The sequence below is a fragment of the Homo sapiens genome, chromosome 12 (genome assembly GCF_000001405.40).
Source record: "Homo sapiens chromosome 12, GRCh38.p14 Primary Assembly".
NCBI classification, from domain to species: Eukaryota; Metazoa; Chordata; class Mammalia; order Primates; family Hominidae; genus Homo; species Homo sapiens.
Genome location: NC_000012.12, coordinates 89,937,355 through 89,950,766, shown reverse-complemented (window position 1 = coordinate 89,950,766; position 13,412 = coordinate 89,937,355). Strand labels below are relative to the sequence as shown.

At 37.9% G+C, this 13,412-nt stretch overlaps 2 long non-coding RNA genes across 2 annotated transcripts in view; both read right to left on the bottom strand.

Moving 5' to 3' along the window:
* The window catches only part of LOC105369890 (uncharacterized), a 192,148-nt gene that overhangs the window by 161,523 nt on the left and 17,213 nt on the right, over positions 1–13,412 (bottom strand). The gene's annotated exons all lie outside the window — the stretch shown is intronic.
* Positions 1,041–3,074, bottom strand: LINC02399 (long intergenic non-protein coding RNA 2399). Its single transcript, NR_135019.1, has 3 exons — positions 3,015–3,074; positions 2,519–2,606; positions 1,041–1,292 (listed from the first exon to the last, which is right to left on the bottom strand). It is a non-coding gene; the product is annotated as a long intergenic non-protein coding RNA 2399 (long non-coding RNA).

The following is a 13,412-nucleotide window of genomic DNA, read 5'->3' as shown; positions in this document are numbered from 1 at the left end:
GTCTATGTACTCTGAATTCTTAAGACAAAACAACATCTCAGGCAGAGTGTTTAGTGAAAAGCCCCTGGCTGAGGTTTCAATACTTGTGTACAATTGAGCAAAAGTCAGAAAGCCTTGGTCTTTTTATATCTCAGCCAAAGGTGTCTACTGAGCTTTCACTGTGTGCCAGCTACCATGCCAGGCTCTAGAGATGGGCCAGTGAACAAGGCATTGTGCTTGTCTCACTCTAAAAACTGGCAGAGAACATGAACATTAAACTTTAAGTATTATGATCATTAATTGCATAATTACAAACGTTCTAAGAGCTCCACAGGATTCCACTGGACCATTTGACTGAGAGACCTAAGTGGCTTATCAGGGATGGCTGATAAACTGAGTTTGGAAGAATCTGTAAAATTAGTATCACAATGTACTTTTAAGGTGGCTATAATGGTTTTTAAAACTAAATGTAAAATTTTGGCAAATAGTTGGTTCTCAATAGATGTTAGTTATTGAACAGTGTCATAGAAATCTGTGCATATGTAATCAAAGGCAAAGTTCTAAAAGGAAAGAAAAAGGCCGCAGCTTTTACCACATATTAATCCATATGCTACTGCTATCATTATCACAATCAATATTAACACATCGCACTGAGCTGTTTCATAATTGTATTTCTATGTTTCCCCTGACAACTCTTAATTCAACCGCTAGGGAAGCCCCTGTCTTCCTGTCTGCCTTGTTTTGGTTTTGTTTCATGTACCTTTCCTGGCAACGGGGTCCATTTACTTCACTGGTTACCATAGAAGCCTGCTTGTTCTGAAGGGCAGTAAGTGTTCTAGGGAAATCAGCAAACTACAGGAAGGGAAAGACTAAAAGTCTCTTGCCCAGATTATGAGTCAACCACTAAATTCAATTCACTCTATTCCAAATTTCTTCTAGGTGGGGTCCAATCTGGGATGCAAGTGGAAGCTTAAAGGTTGTATTACTTCAATATCTGTTTTCTATAAAATCATTTTTATTTTTATTTGAAAGATTGTAAACAGTTTGAATAAGTAAGTCTCTTGATTTTACCATTTTATTTTATTTGATGACTAACTTTCTTTTATTGCTTCATAAAATGAACCTCATGGAATGTTTGCTTACTTCCCATTGCATGAGGAATAAAAAGGAATTGCTTAAGTGTGTTTGACGATCATTGTAAATAGCATATAAACAGGACTGAAAATATAGACCTGCTCAATAGTGGGCATAGATACAGTGAAAGATACTGAATATTTATATTCATGAATCACAGTAAGATTTTCAAGATGGACCTATAAAAAGAAAAAAAAAAGTTATTCATCAGTGTCTAATCCGGAGCTGAAGTTTGGCCAACATGGATTTCAATTGAGTAAATCATTTCATTCATTTGTACAAAAGGGACAACTAACATATACTTTCTCAGACACATATTATTTCATTTACCCCTCCCAATAACCCTTTGAAGTAATATTGTTATTGTCATTTTTGAATGAGGAAATTAAAATTAAAATCACAGAGAGAGAGACAGTAAGTGCTTTTTAAAAGGGCCCTTAGTCCCTCAAGAACAGAAAAATAGGAATTTTATTATTTCAGTTGTTTATGAAGTAAACTAAAATGTATATAGTTCCTAGCAACTTAGCAAAAGTATGATTTTTTAAAACATAAAGAAGAGGACAACTGTGCCATTCATTGCACCACAAAAGCAAAGTTATGTAGAGACAAGAGTACAAAAACAAGGGCCTTTGCTCTGTTGTTTGTTGAAAAGGAAGTGTCATTATATTGGTAAAAACAGCCCTGTCCTTTCATTCAATGGAAAGAAATCAGAAATCCAACCTGGAACAGGCTTGGGCTCAGTGGAAAAATCATGTCCCAGTGCAAAAGTAATGGCTGTTGTAGATTAATAACCATTTACAGCTTTTTATCTTGGTTAAACTGCTATCTTCCAGACTGTAAAAGATAACCTGGGCTTGTTGCAGAGCTTTTTAAAGAAAACACTCTGCCTCTTAGGAAATCCGTCTCCCTATGCTTTGCTCAGGAGTTTGAAGTCATTCTGTCAATATCTTGGAAATAACATTTCTGAAAAGCAGATTATTAGCCCTGAGTTACATCTTCCACCAGTGGAATATTTGCCTTGCCTAAATAGCAGGTGGGGCTTAAAAGTGAGAGAATATCTCTGTAGAGAATTTCTGAGCTTTCCATTACTGAAACACAAAGATGTATTTTAGGAAATTGCAGAACTGCTGCATCCAAATCAACTCAACACTTAATAAGAAAAGCACAGAATCTATCATTATTCCTATTAGCAATGAGTATATATGAGTGGATTTCACCTTGGAGATTCTCAGAGCAAAAAATTTACAAGCTGTTCTCTATATACAACAAGACTTTGCCCACACTAATAACTGGAGACTTCATAAACTGTAAGGCACAAAACCTATCACAGTATAGCTGGGGAGATTTTAAGATCAAATATAATTATTCAACAAGCAGAATCAAAAGACTCCATGTCTATACACACTTGGTAAACAGCCAGGATGTAAACTGTCAGCCCCAGGATTCAGTGTTTCCCTGTATCTTGCATACTCTACGCAGTTTGCTCTGAATCACTGTTTAAAAAAAAAAAAAAATTCCAATGATTCATTCTCCTCTAATCTTAGTAGAAAGCATTTCCACACCAAAGTGGACTTTATTTTTTCTTCCACTCTCAGTCAGCATGGAGTGAGACAGAAGGTCAGGAGCCTGTTTGCTAATCCTTTCTCTGCCACAAATCACAAATCACCTCTAAGACCTGGAGTAAGTAACTTCTCATCTTGGCCTTCCTGCCTTCCTTCATCTGTAGAGTGTGGGGGTTGAGCAGGAGGATTTTGAAAGCCCCTTCCAACTTGAGGATTCCGTGATAATATAAAGCTGTTCCCCGGTGTCTGGCAAAACTCCTAGTTTCTGTCTCTCTTGTTTCCTGACGTACAGTTAAATTATGGGTCCCTCAACTGAATTTCAATAAAAAAGGCTCTTACCCAGGGTTAATTGCAAGTTTTGAAAGGGGGAAGGGAAGAGCCCACATGAAGAGTTGCTGAGAGCCCAGCAATTGCTACCAGGACTAGAATCAGCATATCTGTTTTGCCAAAATTCTTCTCTGAGGTCACAAAGCCCAATCCTCTTAATAAAAGAAGCAGGTTCAGCTAGAATTTTCCCACCCAGTCTAACAATGATGGAATTTCAAGACATTGTTCAGTTGCTGTCATAGGAAATTGAAGTTTTTAGATCGAAGCTGGTATTACTAGTATCTCTTGTTGAGAGGCAAACCAGAAACAATAAACTTTTATCCAGAAAAGAAAAAGTGTTTATTTAAACCCAGAAGTATCTATTGCTGTATCTCAATATGCCCAGCCGCAGGGCCACAGTAAGAGGTTCATAGCTGAGCCCTTCCTGCTCTGCCCACATCATACCAAACATGTTAATACATACATACATACCCAATCTCATCCTAAACATAACATTTTTCTTTATGCTGCAAAAGGATTTTTATAATTTTGTTTTTGAAACTTTCATTTTGCAGTGTATTTCTATTTTGTAGCCTATAATTTTTTCCAGTTTTCAAATATTTTCATCAGCTTTTAAAAAGTTTCACGTCTATAGTGCCCAATAAATTAAAATCTCCCTGATTAACCTTACGTTCAACATTCTTCTGAAAATACACCAGACCATCAGAACTGGCCACATAGTAAAAGTCACAATCAAAGAAGCCTCTTCCAGATACCGCACAAGGCAGCTACATTCCCTGAAGCCAAACTATATTCTGGAGACTTCAACGTCAAGTAGGCTGGGTTCCAATTTGACACCAGGATCCTTAACATCTGGGAAGACCAAATTTGGGAAAAGAAACAAAAGTAATAAGTTTCCCTTCAGAATATAAGTTTGAGAACCATTCAAATATGGACTTCATACCCTTCTAGAAGCTGATTCTTCCTATCTCATTATACATTGACCTTTGAAATGGAGCTTTGCCCTGTATACTGTAGCTGTATTGAATGGTGCTTCAAGTTCCTGGGATGGGAGTTTTCAGGCAAAGCAACCTGGCACCAGGGAAGGCGGGGATTGTAAACCAGAAACTGTACTGTACTTGGTATTGGAAAAATAATCAGTCTGCCAGAACAGACATCTTCTGTATTCCGACACCTAGTATCTAATCTAGAAAACATTCTGATTGTTCTCACTCATTTTTTTCCATGACAAAACCGTTGCCTCAAGAGGGGGAAAAAAATCCCTGATAATCTTGATTACATTAAGGGGTCAAAGATCCATTTAGGACAGCTATTCTTATCCAGCGTCATTTTCAACATCAATAACATATTTCAATAAGGCTCTCTTTGAGTGTTTCAAAGCAAAATCACCTTGAGCCTTCATGCAATGGACTAAGTCAATAAAGTCCATTGAAAATTGAGATGGAAAACCTGTTTAAGAATGTGCAGTTTAGAATCACATGTGTGAGAAATTTCTTCTTAATATGTCCTGGCCCCGTGATTAATGCTACATTTTTCCCAGATCTTTCATGGCTGAGTCTTGGTTAGCACCCAAAAATGTACTATCATGCTTAGAGACCTACCCGGAGTAAGTGGGTATTCTACCCCTAACCCAAAACCAGTACACATGCCTGACAGAGGAATAGAATATGTGAAATTCACACTTTCCTGGAATATCCAAAACATATGATCTCCATGCCAGAGAAGAATCCTCTATGAAATGATATTTAGGGGACAAATGGTAAAATGCTTTCCACAGCCACATTCAGTTTCTACTGATAAATCTGCCTTCTTTTATCCAGGATGGAGGGAAATGGCAGAGAGGGGTGAGGGTACTGGGAACCAGCATTGTCAGCCTACACAACTCTTCTCTTCCAAGGAAAGAACAGCACAAACTGCAAAGAAAGGAGAGAGACTTGCGGACAAACTAATTTCAGTTTTTCACGTCTACTCACTCTTGAAATGAAAATCATAGCACATCGATCCAGTTCTGTATTTCAGAAATGTGCTGCCTGGCCTTTTCCTGAGTTGTCTATTATTCCATTAGACAAAATGATAGAAATTTCTATAATTTAAAAGTGACTGGCCCAACCTACCTTTTTTATGGTGATGGGTTTTTTTAATTCAATTGGAAGTAGTACCAGGTAAAATAGAAGCTCTTATCCCTGATTTAATAGCAAATGGATAGTAGTCTGCATATTTGTTTGGTAAGTTATTTTTTAAATATTTACACTCATACAGTCTTATGTGGGTATCACTGACTATGTGATATATTAATTGTGTCATGTCTTTTCTATTAATTGTACATTGGGTTAGACAAAATTCCTGGTAAAAGAAAACATTGTGGTTAGGGTACTAAAGCTTTCAAGTAGGATATGACAAAAAGCAGGTAATAATATTCTCCAAGAAGAGGATTATGTTGGAAGAAAATTGAGTTAGGTGGCTTATTAGGATTCTTATTGAATTTTAAGAACTTTCTGATTTGTTTTGCTCTTAGAAGGGGCTCATGTACTGTCCTTTGAAAGCATATTATGTAGTCTGTAACCATATCTGCCATGATTAACATTTCTGAGAGAGTTTAACTTTTAAATGAACTTGGGAGATTTACCACTGAGGCTGTTTTGAAAACCGATTAAGTATTTCATAACCTTATAAAATTATAAAAATTTTAGCTATTTTCTCTGGCTTCTGATTAGAAGTATGTATAGAACCCCATCATTTTAACTAATATTTTTCTTACTAATTTAGAAATTGAGGCCCAAAGTTACGAAATGACCGGCTTCACTGCTACTTACTGGCAAGAGACCTAACATAAAGAGTTCTTTCTATCACATTCTGGTATTTCGATTTATTTCAATAATTTGTATTAATTTGGTTAGATCTTTGGAAGAAAAGTAAATGTCCTTTAGTGCAGCTATTCATGTTTGTCCTCGAACAAGGTATTTGAGAATCTTGAAATTAATAATGTATTCATTCATTCAACAGACATTATTGAACCAATACTACATACAAGAGATTTTAAGTGAGTAAGGTAGAAGGGGAGTACAAAGTACATAACTCTCAAGAAGGTTTTGGTCTTGCAGAAAATAGATTGTGCCTTGACAATTCTCAAGCCTGACTCATCCAGCAGGAACAGTGCCTAAGGCCTACAATATTTTTAGGGGCTATGAAAGGTTTTAATATTAATATCTCTTCAAATCAGAAGAAAAAATGAATATATTCAGCCTAGATTATATTTGTCTTTATACAAATACAGTCATAAAATATAACTGTCAATAATTTTTTTATGGAAAAAGGGTCCCACAGAGGAAAAAGTGCCTGGTGCCCATGAAAGTCATATTGTAGCTCTGAAAACAATACTCCAAATATCTACCCCCAAAATTTTACCCTAAAACATTGAGAAAGCTGAATTTTCAGAAACAGTCTCAGAAAGCTGAATGTATCATTTACTCCAGTTACCATCTTAGAGGCCTTATAAATCTACCACCGATCTCTATTTCTGAATAGAACTCTTGGGAATTTTACTTCACACTAAAATTTCCTTCACAGAGGTCAGGGGACAAAGACAGCTCAGGTGATTCACCAGCAGTTAATGGTTTTCTGATCTCTGGAACCAAGCAGGCTTTCTACACAGACCTCCTAGAATTAAAACTCCATGGCTTCAAGTTTATACCATTTTATGACCCTGGCAAAGCCTTCCAAACAGACTAATTTAAGATTTTCCAAACTATATGACGTTAATAGATGTTGCTGAGAAAAAAAAAAATCTATGACCAGATAATTTGGGAGCATGCTATATATAATAAACCCTGCTCTTGTAGGTTATCAATTAACATAGTAAATGTTATCAGATGTCCTACTGGAAAGAAACCCTGGTTAACTTTAATTCAGCATTTTCCAAACTTGTTTGAATACAAGGCTCTTGTTCAAGAAAGTTTATTAACATTTCACAGGAAACCAATGTGTCATGGGACATAATTTGGAAAACATTAGTCTATACAAGGCATAAGCAAACTTTTTATGTAAAGAGGCATATCATAAATATTTTAGGCTTTATGAGCCAGATAGTCTCTGTCACAATTACTCAAATCTGAAGCTGTGGCAGGAAAACAGCCATAGACATTACATAAACAAATGGGTGTAGCTGTGTATTCCAGTACAACTTTACTTAGAACACAAGCAGTGGGCTGGATTTAGCCCAAGGGCTCTAGTATGCTAACCCTTGGTCTATGCTTTCCACTAAACCTTTTCAAAGCAGCTATAGCTATACCAAAAATGTTACAAAGTCATCTTTCTACATGTTAAGATTCAAAAACAATCAATTCAACCTAAAGTTTTTTTTGCAAAGTATCTTTTTGGTCTGAAACTAATGTCAACTCCCATAAATGGCTACTCTTTCCATCAAAGTTCTTGAAAGTGTTTGCCAAAAGACAGGAAGGATACCCACTAAAAAATAAACAGTGGATATTATTGGATGTGAGACCACAAAGGATTTTTTTTTTCTTCATTGTACTTTTCTGTAACATTTTTGTAATTAGAAACTAAAACAGTGGAAGTGAGGTAGGAGGTGGGACTCCACTCCAGAGACAGGGCTCAGACACGAGACCAAATTGAGGACTAGCTAAAATAGTATACCCAGCAGAAGCACCTCTCAATAACACAGGCCCACCAGTGTGCCATGGCAGTTGCCATGGCAACACCCAGAAATTACTGTCCCTTTCCATGGCAATGACCTGACAACCTGAAAGTTACCACCTCTTTCCTAGAAATTTCTGCATAAACCATCCCTTAATTTGCATAGAATTAAAAGTGGTGTAAATGTGACTGTAGAATTGCCTCTGACCTGTGCTCTGGGCACACTGCCTATGGAGTAGCCCTGCTCCACAATGAGCAGTACCTCTGCTGCTGCTGTGCACTGACGTTTCAATAAAAGTTGTTGTTTTAGGCCACCAGCTCACCCTTGAATTCTTTCCTGGGTGGAGTCAAGAACCCTCCTGTGCTAAACCCCAATTTTGGGGCTTTCTTGTCATGCATCGGAAGTTATTTTTTTAAATAGTCTTCCTATAGTTCAGCATTTTTTAAAGCCTTTCTCCATAACACCCCTTTATATTTGCATGGCACTGGGAAGTTCCCACAGCCTTATTTATTTATTTATTTATTTATTTATTTATTTATTTATTGTATTTATTTCATCTCCCCCTCCCAGCTCCCCTTCTAAGTAAAATAGGACAAATATCGGTTCTGCTCTCAGTTTTCCTCAGTCTCATCTCCAAGTTCTACCTCTCTCTTACAACTTAAATTCTCACCTCTTTAAGGCTATTTCCTAAATGTACATTCCTAGTCCTAATTCATCTCATCATAATCACCTTGGAATTTACTTAATATGCAAAACCCTGGCTGGCTCCATCTGAGACCTAATTAATCAAAATATTCAAGGATATAGAACCTGGGTGTATTTCAAAAAATTCCATAGGAATTTAGATGTGTACTCCTTGTTTGTAAAAAAAAAAAAAAAAAAAAATTGTAAACAATTCTTTTGAGAGACTTAATCATATGATACCTTTTTCCTTGGTTTATCTTCTGTACCAGATTCTTAAAAGCAAGGAATATGGCTTATTTACCTTTTTACACTTTTTATAACTATTTAGCAGCTCTATGCTCATTGACATGCAAGATGGATTTTATTTTGGCCAGCAAAACAAATAAATATGTGGTAAACTTAAAAGATATATCTGCATTTACTAACTCTATTTTCTTACCTTTTGTGTACTCCCTAATCTACTACATTTGGGTTTCTTTTTTCTGCCACACCACTGCCATTCTTTCCAAGGTCACCAATAGTTCTTTGGTTGCTAAATCAAAGAAACGCATAAGCACTCATCTTTTTTGTTCTGTCTCCAGCTTTTGACAACTGATGACCATTCCCTTGCTGTTGAAATGCTGCTACTTGATATCTACGTAAATGTCCCATAAATACTGCTAGTGCAGACTCCAAACTGAACACATCTTTATAGCTTCAAACCTGCATTTTCTGCTTTGTACCCCTCTCTTGGAATGGTGCCATCATTCAGCTAGCTTCCCCCAAAAAATACCCAAGTATCAGCCTGAAGTCACTGTTTTGTTTATTCCATTTGCCTCATACAATTATCAACAGTTACCCACAATTCCAAAACAAACTGCTCGCTTGGCAGCAAAACCTCTCTGAAGTGATTGAGAATTACTAACAGTCTTGATACATCTAATTTACTGTGAATATGTGACTTTTACTGTGCAAATATTGATGTCTTGATTATTGCCCAGCCCTCCCTAAGGGTGTGATATAACATACTTTATATACATCATACTGCCTTTCTAGGAATATCAAAAAGATTTCTAAACCCCAAAGCATTCCATCTCAGCAAGTCCTGGAGATTGTGGATTTGTACCTCCTATATCCTAACTAGCTCTCAAGGTCTTCCAATTTTATCCAACTCCTTAGAGAAGGCAACTAGTATCTCTTGCCTGGATTGCAGCAAAAGCACCCCAACTGCTTCCATTGTCCAAAATCTTGCCTCCTCAAATCCTTTTTCCACTTGCAGTCAGAATAATCAAAAAAGGTCAATCTTCTCTCCCATTTTGCTCCTATCATACAGTCCAAAGGCAGAACATGACCTAGAAAGCCCCAGATGACCAGGGCCCTGCCTAACTCTTCAACCTTATTGCTCATCACTTCCTATTCCCAATTCTGCCATACCAAGCACCTTTAAGTGCCTCCATGTCCTGCTCTCTTTCATGTTCAGCCTCGAGGACTGGACTTCTAAGTATTTGTTGAATCAATGAATAAATTCTTACTTTCAGGGCTACTAAGAGAAAACTGATAGGTATTTTTTCTGAGCAGAGACCTGCTATTTTTTAATTCTTCTCCTTTTGGTGTGAGAAATGGGAGGTGGAGGCAGCAATGGCTACAAGTAATAGTATTAGTTAATAAATATAATGGTAAAGGGCTGCAGGGCATGGTGGTTCACACCTGTAAGCCCATCACTTTGGGAGGTGGAGATGGGAGAATCACTTGAGCCTAGAAGTTCGAGATCAGCCTGGGAAACATAGCGAAACTCCATTCTCCCAAAATAAAAATTAAAAATTAAAAATTAGCTGGGTGTGGTGGTGCACACCTGTAGTCTCAGCTATTTGGGAGGCTGAGGTGAAAGGATCAACTAAGCCTGGGGAGATTGAGGCTGCAGGAAGCAATGGTTGTGCCACCGCACTCCAGCCTGGACAACAGAGTGAGATCCTGACTCTAAATAAATTAATTATTTAAATTAAATAAAAATATTGGTATGGACACAAGCAACTTAAATGTTATGACCAGACACAAATGTCCTGTTGCCCTAATAACATTTCAAAAGTATTTCCTGGAATTTGAGCCATTTTCTGCTAAGTGCTTCTTTAGCTGACATTTAACATTGGCAGCAGTTGTATCTCTAGTTTAAATTATTAAACATCCACCATGCACACAACATTTGATATACCTTGTATAAATTATTACTAATCTTTGTAATAAACATATAAGGTGGGCATAATTATCTCAGTTTTAAGGATAAAGAAACTGAGTCTCTTAGAATTTGAATGATTTTCCCCAAGGTCACAATTTTAACAAGTGACAAAAATACTCTTCATCTGCAAATCCTTTTCTACCCTCCACACTGAGAATGGGCCATACTGCTAAGCAATCCTGAAGAGATGATGAATCATGGGTGACAGGGAAGGGAAAGCAGTCAGGGAGGCCAATGGGAGAGTCAGAGTTAACTGGAAAGGAGGAGGGAGGAGGAAAATGCATACAACTTATAAACTCCTTAATTATTAATATATCTGGCTAGATTGTAAATTCTATCAAGGAAGGGTCCAAATTCTTTTACTTGCTTCTTTATCTATTATACTGCCTGGGATAAGGCTGGAAACAGAGTGGGTACTTAATGAACACTTAGGAACTAACTACTTATTAATAACATGTTGACTAAGTATTGCCAATATTAATCAGTGCCTACTTCTCCCCACCCTTAAGATAGAATGTAGATGAGATCAGAGCAAGGTGTGGCAGGTGTAGTGAGGCTTATCAGGAGAAGGAATTGCAATACCTATAAAGACTTCCTCATTAAACCCTCTGACCTCAGATAATTTTGAAAAAGTACTAGTTGCCAATGAGCCAAAGTCCGGAGTTTGACTTTCAAGGAATTGAGTTGATGAGGAACAAGTTGGATTTCCATCAATGAACTGTTTAGACATTGGTTCTCATATTGACAAATATTTACTAAGAACTCTGTAGCCAGGTAATGGGTAGACACTATGCATGGAGATATCCAAACCTCCAGATATAGCCAACTGGTATAAATATGCCTTAAAATGGCTTTTATTTTGTTTGCCTAAAAAGCCCAAACAAAAATTTTCTAAACTATCAGATATGTAAACCATCATCTTTTTACCTCCAATATGCCTGAAAAAGGGCCTGGAGAATGTTCTTGACCAAAATGAGGGAGCAAAACATGGAAAGCAGAGAATCCAGCGCAGGAAAGAAAATAAAGGAACACCCAGGGTGACGATGAGGAGTTGTCTCAGGATGCTAGCTGCAGAGCAGGTCTGGAGAACAATGAGTTTACATTTTAAACAAGAGAAAGGAGGGCTCCAGGGGGGAATGCTTCTATTACAAAATAATAATAATAATAAGACATAAGCTTACTAGTGTGTTAGAAGATACTGAAAAGAGGTAACCAGAGTTGGAAGGTCACTATGTGATAGGTACACAGAAAAACTGAGCAAATGAAAACTTTAGCAAATTAAGTCCAACAAAACTAAAGTTGTTCAAAAAAGAAAATAAAATCACAGTCTACTAAGTGGCTCAGTTGAGAATAACATGTACATAGTCTTCATAAATAGGGAATATTTATTTTACTGTAAAATAGAGCCTTTTTTTTGAGATGGAGTCTCACTCTGTCACCCAGGGTTGCCCAGCTATTTTTTTTTTTTTTCAGTAGAGATAGGGTTTTGCCATGTTGGCCAGGCTGGTCTCGAACTCCTGACCTCAGGTGATCCACCCACCTCGGCCTCCCAAAGTGCTGGGATTACAAGTGTGAGCCACTGTGCCCAGGCAGTAGAGCTTTTTAGAAAGAAAAAACTTTAGTACAGGTTGGAGAGGTAAACTCAGAAGGGTATAACAGAGATTACATCCTCGAAAATATATTCCTTATCACATGCTCAGAAATAACAATGCATATGCCCAAACTTCCAGATGAGACATTTGAAGACCTGCTGCCTTCTCTCTTCTAGATACACAAGCAAGGGAAAGTCATATGACTACTACCTAACTCCTTAAATACATAAATAGAAACACCTACCATGTCTGAAACATAGGTGTGTTCAATGTGTTTAAAGCTGCCCATGCCTCAGTTTTCTCACCTATAAAATAGAGACACTCACATTAATCCCCTAAAGACTGTTTTTCCCTTTCTGGAACTGGAATTGAAGGAAGTTCTTTTTCCTCTTAGGGAGTGAGCCTTTACGATAGAGACACTGGTTCATTTAAAAAAAAAAAAATTAAGTAAAACATGTAAATTTTGGCCTGCTGTCCTACAGAGACCCTGTGGGGGAGAAAGTGATCCCTATTCAAAGAGAGTTTGTGTTACATTTTCTTCCCATTCCAGGCTCAGTTCATTGTACAGCAAAGTGGGAGACAGGTGTGTTTTAGGTTGGTTTCTGTCCTACCACAAAAGATATGTTGAAGTCCTAACTCCTAGAATCTGTGAATGTGACCTTTATCGGAAATAGGCTCTTCACAGCTTTAATCAAATTAAGATGAGGTCTTTAGGGTGGGTCATAGCCCAATATGACTGTGTCCTTGAAAGAAGAGGGAAATTTGGACACACAGAGAGAGAGGAGGAAGGCAGGTGAAGACATCCACAGAGGGACAAGAATGCAGCAGCTGCAAACCAAGGGACACTGAGGATTGGCAATCACCACCAGAAGCTAGGAGAGCCAGGGATGGGTGCTAACCAGGCTCTCAGAGGGAGCGTGGCCCTGCTGACATCCTGATTTCAGATTTCTAGCCTCCAGAACTGTGAGACAGTGAGATTCTGTTGTTTCAAGTCACCCAGCTCGTTGCACTTTGTTAGGGCAGCCCCAGGAAACTAAGTCAGTGATGTCTTCCAGATCCTCAACAAAACCAAGTCCCTCTTGTCCACTTCCAACCGCAGTGGTGCAGCTTGGGGGCACATTCTTCTGATGCCCAGAGAAAGACACATCGAGCCTTCCCAGAGTACAGTCCTGACACCTGGAGGGGCCAGTTGGCAGGCACCTCATTCACTGACCACAACGAAGGTGGCCAAGCATTCCAAAGGTGGGCTGTCAGGGACAAAGTAACTC